The 17,412-nt window shown below is 39.2% G+C and overlaps 1 protein-coding gene and 1 long non-coding RNA gene across 4 annotated transcripts in view, besides 1 other annotated feature; one reads left to right on the top strand and one right to left on the bottom strand.

The window, feature by feature from the left end:
• The window catches only part of SLCO5A1 (solute carrier organic anion transporter family member 5A1), a 167,933-nt gene that overhangs the window by 113,014 nt on the left and 37,507 nt on the right, over positions 1-17,412 (top strand). For all 3 annotated transcript variants that reach the window (NM_030958.3, NM_001146008.2, NM_001146009.1), the window contains one exon: positions 16,736-16,934. In NM_030958.3, coding sequence (NP_112220.2) covers positions 16,736-16,934 — 199 coding nt within the window. The remainder of the gene's footprint in view (positions 1-16,735; positions 16,935-17,412) is intronic.
• Positions 2,200-10,429, bottom strand: LOC105375889 (uncharacterized). Its single transcript, XR_929026.3, has 3 exons — positions 10,345-10,429; positions 7,041-7,117; positions 2,200-2,288 (listed from the first exon to the last, which is right to left on the bottom strand). It is a non-coding gene; the product is annotated as an uncharacterized LOC105375889 (long non-coding RNA).
• Positions 10,315-10,815: an enhancer, noted in NCBI's record as "H3K4me1 hESC enhancer chr8:70623385-70623885 (GRCh37/hg19 assembly coordinates)". NCBI's record gives its function as "activates a minimal SCP1, AML or CMV promoter by ChIP-STARR-seq in naive H9 embryonic stem cells {active_cell/tissue: H9 hESC(naive)}" and the evidence as "EXISTENCE:reporter gene assay evidence [ECO:0000049][PMID:30033119]".

The following is a 17,412-nucleotide window of genomic DNA, read 5'->3' as shown; positions in this document are numbered from 1 at the left end:
CCTGACCTGAGGTGATCTGCCCGCCTCAGCCTCCCAAAGTTCTGGGATTACAGGCATAAGCTATCGTGCCTGGCTTATAAATACATTTCATCTTTTAATCATAGCACTTATTTTTTTGGTGTGTACCTCAGGATCGAAGACAATAAGGGGGTAAACCCTTTGAAAGGAATTTTGAGTTTCCTGCTGTTTTAGGTGGAAAATTAGTCTAAAATATCTTCCTTTCTGAAATAAATAGGATTTGAAAGAAATGATCCTGAAGTAAGTTTCTATAAATAAAAACATTTTTTTCTTCATTTTTAGAATAAAACTGAGCACCTGCTCCTTCAAAAATGAAGTGGCTTAAATGACTGAAAAGATCTCACAAAGAAAATAACAAACATTTGTAATTTAAGTGTATGTTTATGGGAGCACTAGCCTCATATAAATCTAGAAAAAGCATTGGATTTAGAATCAGATAACAGTCTAGGCCTTGCTCTGGCATTAATTAGCCAATGATTCGAGGTGAATCACTCATCTTTCCAGAGTCTCACTTTTATTTTATATCTATAACACGAGGTAGTTAAATACATGATCTCTGGGCTCTTGTGTTAATTTAGGATTATATACTTTTTGAGAATATCAGAGACTCAAAGGAACAGAGGCTTGAACAAAAGAGATCATTATTTCTCTGTCACATAAAATTCTGGACATAACTCAGGGCTGGTATAGGGACTGTAATCACCCACAGTGCTTCCAATTTCTTCTCCATCACAGACTCCTGTCCTCATAGTCCAAAGTGGCAGTCCAGTTATTATGTCTGCATTTCAAGTAGCAAAATGGAAGGAGGAAGGAGGAAGAGCATGGATGTACTACTTTTGCTTACATCACATTGGCCAGGACTTGCCACATGGCCACACCTAGTTGCAAGGGAGGCTGGGAAATGTAGTCTATTCCAAGCAGCCATAAGTCAAGCTGTTACTCTAGAATAGGGATCTTGGGCCAAAGTTAGCCTGCTTCCTGTTTTTGTAAATAAAACTTTATTGGAACCCAATCACACCCATTTGTTTACACATGTCCATTACACTACAACAACAGAGGTGACTAGTGTAATAGACACTGTCTGGCTCACAAATTAGAAAATATTTACTATCTAGCCCTTAATAGAAAAACTTGTCAACTCTTGCTTTAGGAAAAAAAAGAGTAGTCATTGGAGAGTAAGTAGCAATCTCTGCTCTAGCGCCCTTCCAAATTCTATGATTTTGTGATAACACACAAACAAATAAAAAGCCCAAACACTTTATTTCATGAGGTAGTAATATATTTTAAAATGTTAGTAAATACTAAAACATGACGTTTTCTCTTGTTCCAATGGGTTGAAACTTGAGTTGTGCCTATTAAATTGTCCTGTTTTTGTTCTGTCCACTTCCTGATTTTATATGGCCACTCTCAGTTCCCATCTAATTATCTAAGATGTTAGCTACTCTCCTGCAACTTTGAGTACAGAAATATTAACACTTTATTTGGCATGTGCCTTGCATAGTCTTCATTTTGGTGAAAATAAAAATGTGAAAAGATTCAGGGCTACCTTTGGTCCTGGTGAAGACTTCCTAGTATAATATCTGGGGTCGTTGGTGAACCAGGAACCATCACGCCATTAAAGAAGCCCGTGGTTGTCAGTGGGAGGTACATTACATTCGCACTTGCTACATTGTATTTTCTTCCTTTGCTGGTTCACATGTATCTTTGGGGTTAAATTTTAAATATTTATTGCATTTACTTCTTATAGCTTTTCAAGTTATATTGTTGTCTTCCAAAGAGAAGTTTTATCTGAAAATATGTGATTTTGTTATTAAAAACCAAGAATAAATAAGGTCTGAGCAATAAGGGGAGAAGATTAGATGATTTGCTGAAAGATTTAGAGATGGGTCTAATAAAATTTAAATTTTTGTAGGCACACAGGAACCATGTCATCTGTTTCCTTTCTAGTAATTTCTACCCAATTGTTGCGGGAAATTAAGGAATTGGAGAGACTGAACGGAGTGCAAGAAAGTGTTTATTTAATGTGTACACCGGCTCAGCGGACATGTGTCCTGAGAGTCTGAGCCTAGAACAAATAAAACGAGTTTAAGCACTTTGAGGCGGGCACTACGTGAAGCAGGAAGCAGGCTTACAGAAGCGAGAACAAAGGCTGCTGTGACACTTTTGCAACATGTCTTACATGTCTGGGAAAACTTGGTTTGCAGGTTATGCGTCTCTGTCTTGTGATCTTGCAGCTGTGCAGGGAAGAAACGAACAGGAGTTTACAGAGCCTACAAAATATGAGGAGGGTAGATATGGTTAATGTTTCTTGGGAGAGACAGTTAATATTCTCTTCCAATTTTAACTTCGGGGGGGCTACTTAAATTCTTTTTAGCCTTGGTTAATACAGCAATTCATTCTATGAGCTATTGTTATTTGTCTTACTATTACTTTAATCTTTACTATTATTACTTATGCTATTATTCTGTTATTTTCTTAACTTCCTACTTCACAATGACTAGTTTCTATAAGGTTGATTAATTAATGGATTTTTGAAACCTAAGTTCTCATAGACAGTAGGGTTGATGTTCTCCACAGATGCTCCGACCATTAGATTCCTAGAGTATGTTTGCGCTTGTAAAACTTATTTTGTGGATTTCATTATCTGGTGGAATTGTGCATGTCTTTTGAAACAAACAAACAAAATCTTCAGGTTAAAAGTGCAGTATTTAGCATACTGGTTAAGATTTTCAACCCGTCTGTCACTGTCTTGTCCAAAGTGGTTATTTTTTTCTGGCTTAAGCTATCTTATTCAGAGAGCAAGGTGAACTGATTAATTTTTGAAGTTTCTTCTTGTTACAAAATGTTTTGATTTTTATTATCCTGGACTCCTGGTAAACTTTCTTTACTGAATAGATGGGGACAGTGTACAACTGGAGTATCATTTAATCCCCCTAATGCTGTGTTCACGTTGCTCCTTCAGGTTTTTGCTCAAATGGCCCCTTGTCAATGAGACTTTATCCAGGATCCCTCAGTTAAAAATGGAACTCCTCTCCCTACTCCTCATTTTCCTTTCTCCGCTGAGCATTTTTCTCTGTAGTATTTTTTACCTTCTAACATTCTGTACAATTTGCTTAATTATTGGTTTGTCTGTTTCCCACGTTAGATTGTAAACTCAATCTGGGCAGGAATTTTAGTTACTTTTATTCCCTACATGTCTCCAGAGTTTAGAACAGGCCTTGGCACAGAGTGGATGCTCAATAATGTTTTCCGTTAAATTAAATATATACTTTAAAAATTACATATTTTTGTAAGTTTTCTGAAAGTTGTTTTAAAAAACATGTTTGTCAATAACCCAAAAATGAATTTATGAATTTTAGCTCAACTACCATTTAAGTAATTGAAGATTAAAAACACAATGTGATAAGGGGCATCTATGGAAAACCCACAGCTAACATCATACTTAATGGTGACAGACTGGATTGTTTCTCCCTAAGATCAGAACAAGGAAAGGATGTCTGCTCTTGCTACTTTTATTCTTTGTTACACTGGAGATTATGCCCAGGGAAGTTAAGGAAGAAAATGAAATAAAAGGCATTCAGATAGGAAAGGAGGAAGTAAAGCTATTTATATTTACAGATTATGTGATCTTCTATGGAGAAAATCTTAAGGAATCAATTATAAAAACTATTAGAACTAATAAATATGTTCAACAAGGTTGCAAGATCTTACAAGATCAATATACAAAAATCTATTGTATTTCTATACACTAGCAATGAATCAAAAATCAAATTAAGGAAACAATTTCATTTACATTAGCATCAAAAGAATGAGTTATTTAGGAGCAGATTTAACAAAAGAAATGTAAAACTTATATTCTGAAAACCACAAAACATTGCTTAAAAGTAAAAGAAAATGTTGGTCACAAGACACAAAATTTCAGTTATGTAGGAGGAATAAATTCAAAAGATCTACTGTACAACATGGTGACTATAGTTAATAACAATGCAGTGCATTCCTGAAAATTAAGAGTAGATTTTGTGTGTTCTCACTACAAAAAAGATAAGTATGTGAAGTTATGTATATTTTAATTAGCTCAATGTAGCTGTCCACAATGTATCCTCATTTCAAAATGACATGCTGTACCTGATAAATGTATACAGTTTTTATTTATCAATTAAAAAATTAAATGTTAAAAAATTAAAGAAAATGTAAATAAATGAAAAGACATTGCATGTTCATGGATTGGAAGACTTAATATTATTAGGATGTCAATATTTCCTAAATTGATCTATCTGCAGATTCAATACAATCCTCATCAAAATTCCAACTGGCTTCTTTGCAAAAATTGGCAAGCTGCTTCTAAAATTCAGATAGAAATGTAAGGTACTGAGTATAGCCAAAACAATCTTGACAAAGAACAAAGTTGGAGGACTCATAATTCCTAATTTCAAAACTTACTGAAAAGTAACAGTAATCAAGACAGTGTGGTGTGGGATTAAAGCAGACAAAAACATCAGTAAAATAGGGTAGAGACCCCAGAAATAACCTTATATATTTATTGTCAACTGATTTTTGACAAGAGTGCCAAGGCTATTCAATGAGGAACAAATAGTATTTTCAACAAATGGTGCTGGGACAACTGAATAGCCGCATGCAAAAGAATGAAGTTGGACCCCCTACCTCATACCACATACAAAAAGCAACTGAAAATAAATCGAAAGCCTTAATGTAAGAGCTTAAATTATAATACTCTCAGAAATAAACATAGGCATAACTCTTTGTGACCTTGTATTAGACAACATAACCAAAGAAAAAATAGATGAGTTGGAGTTCGTCAAAATGTAAAACTATTGTTCATCAAAGGACACCATCAAAAAAGTAAAAATGGGCCAGGCATGGTGGCTCATATCTGTAATTCCAACATTGGGAGGCCAAGACAGGAGGGTTGCTTGAGCCCAGGAGTTTGAGAGCAGCCTGGGCAACACAGGGATACCTCATCTCCATAAAAAATACAAAAATTAGCTGGGGGTGGTGGCGTGTGCCTGTAGTCCCAGCTATTTGGGAGGCTGAGGAGGGAGAATTGCTTGGACCTGGGAGATTGCGACTACAGTGAGCCATGGCTGTGCCACTGTACTCCAGCCTGGGTGACAGAGCAAGGCCCTGTCTTAAAAAAAAAAAAAAAGGAAAAACACAGCTTGCAGAATGGGAGAAAATATTTGCAAATCATATATCTGCTAAGGCAGTTATATCTAGAACACATAAAGAACTCTTACAACTCAATAATAAAAAGAAAAATAAGCCAATTAAAATGGGCAAAGTATCTAAGTAGACATTTCTCCAAAAAAGATGTACCAATGTCCAACAATAAGCACATGGAAAGATGCTCAACCTTGTTAGTTATCACGGATATGCAAATCAAAACCACAATGAGGTACCACCTCACACTCAGATGGCTAAAATCAACTATTATCTGTGATAATAACAAGAGTTGGTGAAGATGTGTAGAAATTGGAATCCTTACACTGCTGCTGAGAATGTGAAATGGTGCAGCCACTTTGGAAAACAGTTTGGTACTTCCTCAAACACAGAGTTAACATATGATCCAGTAATTCCATTTCTAGGCATGTATCCAAGAGAAACAAAAACATATGCTCACACAAAACTTGTACATGAATGTTCATAGCAGCATTATTCATAATAACCAAAAAGTAGAAACAACCCAAATGTCCATCCACCAATGCATGGGTAAATATTATTAATAAAATGTGATCTAGAAATGCAATGAAATGTTATTTGGTCATAAATAGGAATGAAGAACTCACACATGCTTTAACACAGAGGAACCTTGAAAACATACTAAGTGACAGAAGCCAGGCACACATATTGTATGACTCCATTTATATGAAAGGTCTCAAACAGGCACACTTATGGAGGTAGAAATTAGGTGGTGATTGTCTCGGGCTGGAGCAGTGCGGGGCAAGGGAGGGCTGGGTGTGATAGCTAATGGGTGTGGTGTTTCTTTTTAGGGCGATGAAAATGTTCTAAAATTTTAGTGATGATTGCATGTTTCTGTGAATATACTAAAAACATTAAACTGTACACTTTAAGTAGGCAAATTGTGTAGTATGTGAATTATAGCTCAGAGAAGCTGTCAATTAAAAAAAAGAAACACAATATGTCTAATTAGTGATGTGACTATATTTATGAAATGTCTGCTCTGGTCTTCCCTATTCACTCGGCAGAATTAATATGGTTTCTCAAGAGCAAAATTTCCACCTGGCCTTAGTGGGGCAAGGGCACTCTAATAGGTATAGTTCAGATGTGCAGACTTTTGTCTCAATTTTTTTTCCATATACAGAGTTTGAAAAATCTGCTTACTTCTCCTAGGGGAAGGGTAGCTTTGTCAGGGTTTTGCAGTTCTGCTATTAGTGGGCGTCATGACGATGAACTGTCTCGATGGAAAAGCTCCGAGGACTGCTGGATTTGGACAACAATGGACAGAGGAGAAGTTGAAAGTTGCTGACAGAAAATGGATCTTGCCCAGAGGACCTCCAAAGAGGGTTTTGTACTTGGCATGGGCCACATCTGTGGGCTTTACTTGTATGAATGGAAACCCAGTACAGAAAATTGATACCAACGTCGTTTGAGGCTTATTTTGATAGCTGAAAAAGTTAATAAGGTGCTCTTATTCTCCTGTGAAATTTCCTCTGCAAAGGCTCCCTACCCACCTTTCCAGTAGTTTGCTTAGCGGTTTTCACCTTCAGTTTCCCAGCACTAGGGAAAACGGAAGTAAATACTGTGATTTTTGCATTTCATCGTTTCAAGTGGTTTTTGCCCTCTGTGGGTTTATCGCGTGGATGCAGAAAATTCTTTTAGGTTTGTAAGCCATCAAAGATGAAATATTAATTTGATTTGATTTTTGAATCCCTTTCATAAAACAGCTCAGCATTCTCTTTTATGCATTATTTCAGCCAGAGCTTTACAGAAACCTGAAATGAAAAGCATGGTTGTTTTCACTGTTGAATGTTCCTTTTTATTACCTTTCCTTCAGTGATCCCCAGACCTTGAATCCTGAGATTGGGGTTCTCATATTTCTCTCCTACTGCACAGTGTCTCCCTGTGTTGGTAAAGAGTTGAAGAAAGTGTTATTATGAGTGAATGAGATCCGTCTGGCCTAAGAGGAGTTAAATATGGGCTTTATATAAATATCTCCCTGTTGAAGTCATTGAGGCTAAGGTTTTTAGAAGTGTGTAATTCCTTTGAAAGCCTTTACTAAAAATTTCAGCAAGGCTACGCTAGAAATTCAAGGACATTCTCTTTTGGTTAGCTGTAAGTGGTCCCATGGGAGCCACACTATGATTGTCACGGGGAACCTGACAGAGGAAACTGAGGCTGATGAAGTCTACTTCTGTCTCCTCTAACTGAAGTTATAGAGGGGCAAAACTTGAGACAGCTGGGGTGCAGCAGCTTTGAGCCAGGCGAGCTATCCCCCCAGCTTATCTGCCTCAAGAGAACTCCTAAAAGAACTTACTGTAAGTTCTTCTACTCTGCCTAAAGGCTTCTTCAGGTACTGGCAGCTTTGACTGCAACAAATGCTCAACGCATGCAGGCTGCCTTTCCTAATCCTAAGTCCAAATAGGGATTTGCTACCCCTCCTTTAAGTTTTGGCTTGAAGCTATGCTGTGAAATATTATGGCTTTAGAGAAAAAGTTTGTTCTCTGCCTTAAACAGCCACTGAGTTCAAAGAAAAAGGTACCTTAAATTAATTCTAATGATACATCTTGTTCATTGTTTATGAAGGGATTGCTGAAATTTTTTACAACAGTAAGATTGAGATATATGAAAGAGAAAGAGATATACTGTGCTTTTAAACTTTGTGGAGTCATTTATAGTTTGTGAGAATGTATACTTATCGCGCTGTCTCTTCTCAGATCAGTTAAAATTTGCTAGCTTCAAGGTTTGGGTTTTTTAAATAATCTTTTTAGTAGTTTGCTTCTGACAGTAGTTGATACTTATTTCCTACAAGAAAATGTTTGCAAGAGAAAATGGAAGCTCAAAAGGGTAAAATTATTTATTCTGAGCAAGAGGAAAAGATGTCTTTTGAATCATCGGGTTAGAAGCTTAGGCTTTAGAAAAGTGAAATAACCTTGAGTCAGTTTCCTTGCTCTAGAACTCTTTAGGTGTTTCTTCCTCTGTGATGTGGAGAGAATGCTGTATTCCTTCCAATCTGTCACACTTTTGCTGGCAAGATGCACCATGATTTTGAGTTATTATGAAAGAAAAATGCTTCTAATTAGATTATGACATAAGGCTTGCATACTATTGATTGTAAGACACACTTTGGGTTCAGAGCATAAAAATCTGTAACATTTGAGAATTAAATGAGATACTGTATTTAGATCAGTTATCACAGTACCTGGCATGTAATCAACATCTGTGTGTGTATGCAGTTGTTTGTGGGTGTGTGGGTGTGCACTTGCACACACACAAAAAAGGGAGGAGGGAGGGAGAGAGAGAGAGAATGAATGAGTGAATAAATGGTACTTTCTTCTTTTCTAGGTACTCATTCTGCTTTCTTGTCCGTCCCATGTGCCCAGCCAGGCAACAGCAGAATCCACATGTCATGATGGCTTACAATGATATTCCTTAATTATTGATAGTCTCATGTTTGCAAGCCATTTATTTTCAACAGAACTTAAGAAAACTTTGGACATGGAAAACACAGAAAGGGCAGTGAAACTAGAGCAAAGAAATGACAATGTCTAAGATTCTAAGAGCCTGTCTTTATTAATTTAAGTCACCATGGTTGGATATTCTGTACCACTGTAATTTCACAACAGATAAGAGGTTTCAGAGACTGATATCGTACTCTGCATTTCCTTTGGTGGCTTGGCAGTTTAAGCTTTTGCTAATAATGTTCAATTCAGAATCTTGGTAAAAGTGAGATTTTTCAGGCACCATCTAGATATTTAGTGCTTATCAGTTTTAAACTGATTTTAGCAATTTATTTTAACCTCAAATTAGATCTTAGATTATCTATTTGTAAAATGGGATACAACCTAGTTCCAGGAATAATTGAAAATGGAAATTAATGAGCAAATCACTTAAAGATTTTATATAATAAATTCAAAGTTATATAAGATTTTATATAATAAGTTCAAAATGAATGTTTGTTCTTTCATCCAAACACACACTAGGCGTTGGTCAGTGCTAAATAAATAGGAGGATACTGAAAATATAGACAAGAACCTTAAAGAAAGATAACAGAAAGATAGAGAATAAACACAATAGGAGTGACAGGTGTGATGAGAGGGGCTAGCGCTGGGTACCATAAAAGCACATTGTTGTTGTCTTAACAATAGCAACAATAGCACAATTGAAGCTCCCTGAACCTATAATACATTCTTGATAATGAATGGGTTGCCTAATTTTGTTCTCTCCTTTGGTTCAGGTTTTCCTGTGCTCCAAATCATGCTTTAAGCTCCCGTATATTTTCTGTGTCTATTTACAATACAAATTGGCAAAAATTGGAGCGAAAGAGGAAAAATTCAGTCATTAGCTTTTATATTTGGTAATTAAATAAATATTAATTTTTCATAAAGACCCTTTGGCTCCATGCAGCCACAAAATTGGGGTCCAGAATAAAAACGTCAAAATCGAATGTTGTGGCATAATAGTGCTTGACAGAGAAAGAAAGAAAGTAGGACAATTAATGTCTATTTGCTTGGATAAATGACTAGATAAAAGATTTCCAGCTGGAAAGCAGCAGGATATTCCCAGACCTTTTATGAGCAAAGCAGAATCTTCTGCATTGTCAGCACTTAATGTTGCAGTGAGTTCTTTAGATTCAGATAAAAGACATGCTGCTAAATATCTAAGAGTTTTATGTGTTAAGAACACATAGTAAGTAAATATCAAAGGTTTGTATATTTAAAGAACACATAGAGGTTTATGTTGGGCCACTAATAGATTGCTTAAATTCAATTCTATAGATTAAATAGCATATAGGAATTTGCCTAATTATAATTCCAATATATATGTGCAAATTTAAACTCATAATATTAGGCAGATAATGAAATTCATGCTTGTTAAAATGATGATGATGATGGCCAGCATTTATTGAGTGTATGCTGTTGGTCAGACACTGTTCGAAGCCTTTCACAGGTCTTAATTCATTTAATCCTAACAATCCTATGAAGAATATACTATTATAATCCACATTTCAGAGAGGAGAAAATCCGAGGCCTGGAAATGTTCAGTAATTTGCCTGAAGACATGCAGCTTGTAAGTGGCTGAGCTGAGATTTGAACTTAGGGGATCTGGCTACATAGCCCAGACTCTTACCTGGATCTGCCTCTTGAACATATGGAATTGCGTTGGGTTCTCTCCTCTACGGCTGGCACCTCGGGCCTCGGGTGCCTGGGCTTGGTGCATCTTCCCACGCTCTGCCCCCCTTGCCCTCCCCACCGAACATATGGAAGTGTCCTTGGGTATCCATCCATTGATGGCCTTTTCCCCACCTGCTTTTCTCCTGCGCTCCCCAGGTCTTGGCCATTAGAGGGCGCTGGAGCAGGAACTCGGGGGTCCCTCCGAGGCTGGGAACGCGGCAGGGTCGGGGCAGAGGCGCAGAGAGGTGAGGTGCGCAGTGGTGAGAGGCGCAACGGAGCGGCGAGCTGACTCTTTGGGACCTGGGGACAGAGGGAAGGGAAAGAGGGCACCAGCCAGGGACGTGAATTTGAGCTCAGAGAGGGCTAGCGGCAGGACCGTAACTTCTGCCGGGAGAACCCATCTTTTCTATTTATCTTTTCCACCCCCAATAGGGAGTGGGCAGGCGGGGAGGCCTGGATGGCGCGTGGTGGTGGGTGGAGAAACTGACTCGCAGCCGCTCCATAAGCTCACCCGGAACTACTAGAGCTGCTGTACCTGGAGCCAGGGGCTTTGAGTGGGGGGGACAGTATGAAGGCTCTGAACTGTCCGACCCCATCCCTGCTGCTCGTCCCAAGACGCGTATAATTCCCCAAAGCAAACTTCGGATCTTTCTCTGATCGGAGATCCAAGCAATGTCCATATTCGCGTAAATGAGTGGTCAGACCTTTCTGTTTTGATAGTGCAGCGAGATACAGATGATGGGGGCGCCGAAGAACATTTTCATGGGTCTTCACTCTGTTTGGTGTGCCCTCATATTTACTGATGACACGTGTTCTATTTTTGAGAGCCTAATGCTAATTAGGATGCATAATCAAATAAATTATGCTGCTGTTTAATTATGACTCAGCTACCAGCACGGAGATTTGTTATCCTGAGGCTGTAGTACAGTATCCGCGGCTCCATAATTGCTTAGTTGAAATTGAAATTTTATGAATAAAACGTTTTCATTCTAAAGGTAAATTAATCACATTGATAGCATGTATACGTTTTCTTGGTGAGGAGGGTACTTTATTCTCCAGCTCATCTCACCCTAGAGCTCTGGGTGAGATTCCAGGGACCTATTGGGTGTAAGAGGTCGCTGTGATAATTAGGGCCCAGCTTGGGGCTGGGAACAGAAAATGTCAGTTTCTATCCAAACTTCCCTTTTTGTGCTGTGCACTATAGAGCAGGCCACTTCCCTGAGCCTTCAGTCTCCTCATCTGTAAAAGGGCCATTGCCGGTCGGGCGCGGTGGCTCACTCCTGTAATCCCAGCACTTTGGAAGGACGAGGTGGGTGGATCACCTGAGGTCAGGAGTTCGAGAACAGCCTGGGCAATATGGTGAAACGCCATCTCTACTAAAAATACAAAAATTAGCCGGTCGTGGTTGCCAGCGCCTGCAATCCTAGCTGCTTGAGAGGCTGAGGTAGGGGAATCACTTGAACCTGGGAGGCGGAGGTTTCTGTGAGCCGAGCTCACACCACTGCACTCTAGCCTGGGCGACAAGAGTGAAACTCTGTCTAAAAAAAAAAAAAAAAAGCTGTTGCCGATTTCACAGGACTCTGGTGAGGATTACAGGATGAACACTAGCTACCAGGCAAAACTGACTTTAAGTTAATCTCAGTCTTCCTCTGCTTCTCTTTGTGGGTTGTTGAACATGCCGGAGCATGCAACCGTGCAAGTGAATGCAGCTGCAAGCTTCTGGTGTCCAATATTGTCTGGACCCATATTACCCTCTATTACATATTCTTAGTAGTGCCGACTTCACTTTCCCATCACGGTTTTTCCAACCCTTGGCCACAATTAAAATTCTCAATATCTCTTCCTTCTAAGAGGTGGTTTTGTTTTCAATTATACAGAAAAGAAACCAACAAAAATCAAAGGTATAAAAAATGAATCTACAGCATGTTATGAATTCTCGGAGGAAAAACGTCTGCAATGAAATATGCCAGAATGCAATCAGTGTATATTTGTTCCTTCCTACTTTTCTGTTTTCCTTCCTACTTTTCTGTGTTTTTCAACTGTTTTGTTACAATATGTATTACATTATGTTTACAGAATAATGGAAAAATAAAACAGAAAAACTAACATTGTAAAGCTACTACTCACCCACGGATTTATCCTCTGTTCTAGCCCAGAGAAAGGAGTTTCTCTCCCCCTATTCAGGGCTAAGTTGATTATCTGTGCTATTAATTCTATGTTATCCTGACTTCTCAAGGATCTTGCATTGTCATTAGCTGAAATTTCCCCTCCACATTCAACCATTCATTCCCTTTTTAGTTTATTTTCCTCAGTATATAAATGTGTTTAAGTCCTCTCTGCATCCTAGCAAACAGATAAAACCCTCCAAACCTCAACCCTGCCTTGTTCCCAGTCTAATTCTAGACCCATATCCCTTCTTCCTTTTATATGCAAAGTTCTAGAAAGAGCTGACTGGATTCTCAAACTCTAGGGACTCATGACTGACTACTCAACCCATCGCAGTCTGGTTTCTACCTGCATGACACTCTTAAAATTGCTCTTGTCAGAGGTCCAGTGACACATTGTCTCACTTCAGTCTTTCTTACTGGACTTCTCTAAGGCACTTGATACTGTTGTCTATTTTCTCCTTGAAACTCTCTCCTTGGTTTCTTGGTTTTCTTCTTTTTTTTTGAGATGGAGTCTCACTCTGTCACCCAGGCTGGAGTGCAGTGATGCAGTCTCAGCTCACTGCAACCTCTGCCTTTTGGGATCAAGCAATAATTCTCCTGCCTCAGTCTCCGGAGTAACTGAGATTACAGGCATATGCCACCAAGCCCTACTGATTTTTGTGTTTTTAGTAGTGACGGGGTTTCTCCATGTTGATCAGGCTGGTCTCGAACTCCTGACCTCAAATGATCTGCCCGCCTCGGCCTCCCAAAGTGCTGGGATTACAGGCATGAGCCCCATGCCTGTCCTCTCTCCTTGGTTTTCTATGGCACAGTTGTAATGGTAATAACTACAATTTTTTTTTTTTTTTGAAACAGTGTCTTGCTCTTGTTACCCAGTCTGGAGTGCAATGGCACATCTTGGCTCACTGCAACTTCTGCCTCCTGGGTTCAAGCCATTCTCCTGCCTCAGCTTCCCAAGTAGCTGGGATTACAGGCACCCAACATCTTGCCTGGCTAATTAATAACTACAATTTATATTATATACCGAATACTATATACTGTATCTACTTATAGATAGTGCCTGTAATCTTCATTCTAAGGCTAAGGTAAAAGGAAGACATCTCCATGACGAGGCAAAGAAGTCTGAGTTAGAAAGTTTAGGAAGCCTGCATGATTACATGGCTACAAAAGATGGAGTGAGGATTTGAACTCCAGTCTTTCTGAATCCAAAGCCCAAGTTTTTCCTGCTTCCGACATTTTTGTTTCCCACATTTCCTCTGGCCTCTGTGGCTGTTCATTTTCAACTTGTTCTGTGGACTCACCTTTTTATGATACCCCATTAACATTGGCACTCATCCGAATGTTGTAGTTTTGGCCCTTTTGTTTTACTCTGCACCGTCTTGTTGGAACATCTCATTTATGCCATGAATTCATCTCCTGGCTATAAATCCCCCAGCCAGCTCTTTGTTGATCTTGCAGCCCACAGACACAACTGGGTGGGGCATTTCACCTGATTGTTCCTCAGGCCCTTCACAATCAACAAGTCTACAATGGGGGCCATTGAGCTGCTCCGCACACACATTTCTTCCTCATGTTCCAGATTTCTTCCTTCATCTGGTGTCATGCAGTCATCCTTCCTCTCTCCCTGTCCTTATCTAATTTATTGGGCCATCTTTGTGGGGCCCTACTGTGGCTCACAAGGACCTTTGCGGTCATCCTCCTGACCACTTCTCTGACTTGAGTTTTGACCACATCTAAGCTGTCTTGCATGTCATTTCAAGATTGACCTTTGTAATACACAGCTTCCATCCTGTCAGCCGCAGCTCAGAATTCTTCAGCGCCCTCCATTATCAGAAATACAACCTGAGCTCCTTTTCATGGTCTTTCATGGTCTCTGTTTTCCCTACCTCTCTTCTCCAGGTCTTTCCACCTCCCAGCTGCTTCCTTTCCATAATCAATATTTTGGATTGCATTGAATCCTCAATTTCGTTATTTCATGCCTCTGTGCATGTATTTTCTTTGTGCAGACATTTTCTTTGTGTAGGATATTCTCTGTGCTGGTCCATTGGGCAGATTCTGTCTCATCTATTGAGATTCACCTCAAATACTGCCACTTGTGTAAAACCCTCCCAGATTTCATCCAGGGAAGACTCTCTCCCTGCACTTTGTATAATTATTTTATTGTATTCTAATTTCTATTAAGTTGTTTGTTTCTCTTTCAGATTGTAAGGTTCTTGGGGGCAGGCACCATGATGATTTCTTTATTTTATTTTTTTGAGGTGTGGAGTCTCACTCTGTCAACCAGGCTGGAGTGCAGCGGCACGATCTTGGCTTACTGCAACCTCTGCCTCTAGGGTTCAATCAAGCGATTCTCCTGTCTCAGTCTCCTGAGTAGCTGGGATTACAGGCGCACGCCACCACCCCTAGCTAATTTTTGAACTTTTAATAGAGACATGGTTTTGCCATTTTAGCCAGGCTGGTCTCGAACTCCTGACCTCAACTGATCCGCCAGCCTCGGCCTCCCAAAGTGCTGGGATTACAGATGTGAGCCACTGCATCTGGCCAATTTCTTTATTTTTTTACAGTGAAAAATAACATACCCAGAAGTACATTAAACATAATTTAAAGATAATTATAAAGTTAACACTGTGTAACTGTCTTAGTTCATTCAGGTGGCTGTAACAAAATTACCATAGACTGGGTGGATTATAAACAACAGAAATTTATTTCTCACAGTTCTGGAGGTTGGGAAGTCCAACAACAAGGCCCTGGCCCCGTGTGGTGAAGGAGGGCCCAATTTCTCATAGAAGGCTGTCTTCTCACATGTGACCTCCCACCATGTAACTTCACATGGAAAGGTGAGGTAGCTCTTTCAGGCCTCTTTTATAAGGGCATGAATCCCATTCATTAGGCCTCCCACTCTTGTGACTTAATCACCTTCCAAAGGCCCCACCTCCTAATCACTCTGGGGATTAGGATTTCATCATGTGAACCTTTTGGGGACACAAACATTCAGACCACAGCAGTAACTATTACCCAGGTCATGGCATGAAGTATTTTTCAGCACCAGAGGAACCTCCTGCATCCCTTCCTTATACCATGAATCCCTCTACTATCTTGGCTTTTATGTTAATTACTCCTGGGTTTTCTTCATAGTTGTACTACCTGTTTGTGCATTCCCAGACAATGCTGTTTAGTTTTATAAGTTGTTGAACTTCATACCAACGTAGTGATGTCTTGTGCATTCTGCTGCATGTGGTTCCTTCCATTCATCATTGTCTTTGTATAATTCTTCATACGAAGTTGTGTGTAGCTATGTTTCTTTCCATTTAATGAGTGTATAGAAGCAATCCTTTATATAGACATACCATATATGATATATTTATTAATGGACATTTGGTTTATTTCCAGTTTTTTACAATTATAATGCTTCAAATATCTTGTCCACTTCTTTTGGTACCCATGTGCACAAGTTTCTTCAGGGTATAGATCCAAGAATGGAATTGATTGCCACAGGGCATGTATATCTTCAACTCTACCAGATAATGCCAAACTGTTTTTCAAAGTGAGTGTTGAGATTTACATCCTGCCAACATGTTGAGAGTTCCCAGTACGTTACATCTTTAACGTGTGGTATTTTCAGACTTTACAATTTTCACAAACGTGATTGGTAGGTAGTGGTATTTCACTGTGGTTTTTAAATTAAAAAAATTTTATACATTACATTCGTACATATTTATGAGGTACATGTGGAATGTTGTGACATGCATAGAATGTGTAATGATCAAATTGGGGTATTTAGGGTAACTGTCACCTGAGTATTTATCATTTCTATGTGTTAAGTGCATCACCTGTATTTCCTTCTGTGTAATGAGGTTGACCCCCTTTCACGTGTTTATTGTTTGTCTGGATTTTGTCTTTGGTGAAGAACTTATTCAAGTTTTACTCACTTTTGTAATGGATTGCTTGTCTTTATTTTATTGCTTTATGAAAGTTTTTATTGAAATCTGGATGTGAGTCCGTTGTTGATTGTATGTGTTGAAAATAATATTATACTATAAAATCACACACAATGAAGATGTATTGATTATAGTAACTTTTGATTTTTTACCTCAGTACTACTGAGCAAGAGACAGAATAGATAAGATGAATAATAGTGTACATGAGTTCAAATTAATCCTCTCCTTCTCTTCTCCCCAGGGGTTATTATCGTCCCCAGTGCTGGTGTTGGTATTGTCCTCGGAGGCTACATTATAAAAAAATTGAAACTTGGTGCCAGAGAATCTGCAAAACTAGCAATGATCTGCAGTGGTGTGTCTTTACTATGTTTTTCAACCCTATTTATTGTTGGATGTGAAAGCATTAATCTAGGGGGCATAAACATCCCTTATACAACAGGGTAAGTACCTCTTAAGAGCCGTGTCGTGTCTGCACGATGGAGGTGCAAAGCCCTGTGGTGTTTGTGCATCTGCAGTCAGCCTCATACCCCTCCCTCCAAGCTGTTCTCCCTGTGTGTGCTCTGTGTGCTCTGCCTCTCCAAGTGGAGCATGCACTCCTGCAGGGCAGAAGCCAGGGTCTCGTCTTCCTCTGTGCCCCTTCTGACCCCACAGAGGGACTTTCATAGCATTTTAATTACATCAGATGAGGATGAAATGCTTATTGGATTAATGAAAATTGTTTGGTTTTTATTATAATGTTTTAATAGGGAATATGTGTTTCTGTAGCTCAAAAACATAAAATTCAATGAAAATACAAGGTACAGTGAAACCTCTTGCTCTTACCCAAGTCCTCCATCCACCTAGCTCTTCCCATTCCTGCAAGCAAAGATGAAACAGGTAACCCCTTTCATTCATTTTTTTGCATATCCTTCCAAGGCT

The sequence above is a fragment of the Homo sapiens genome, chromosome 8 (genome assembly GCF_000001405.40).
Source record: "Homo sapiens chromosome 8, GRCh38.p14 Primary Assembly".
NCBI lineage: Eukaryota > Metazoa > Chordata > Mammalia > Primates > Hominidae > Homo > Homo sapiens.
This window is presented reverse-complemented; position numbering and strand designations above follow the sequence as displayed.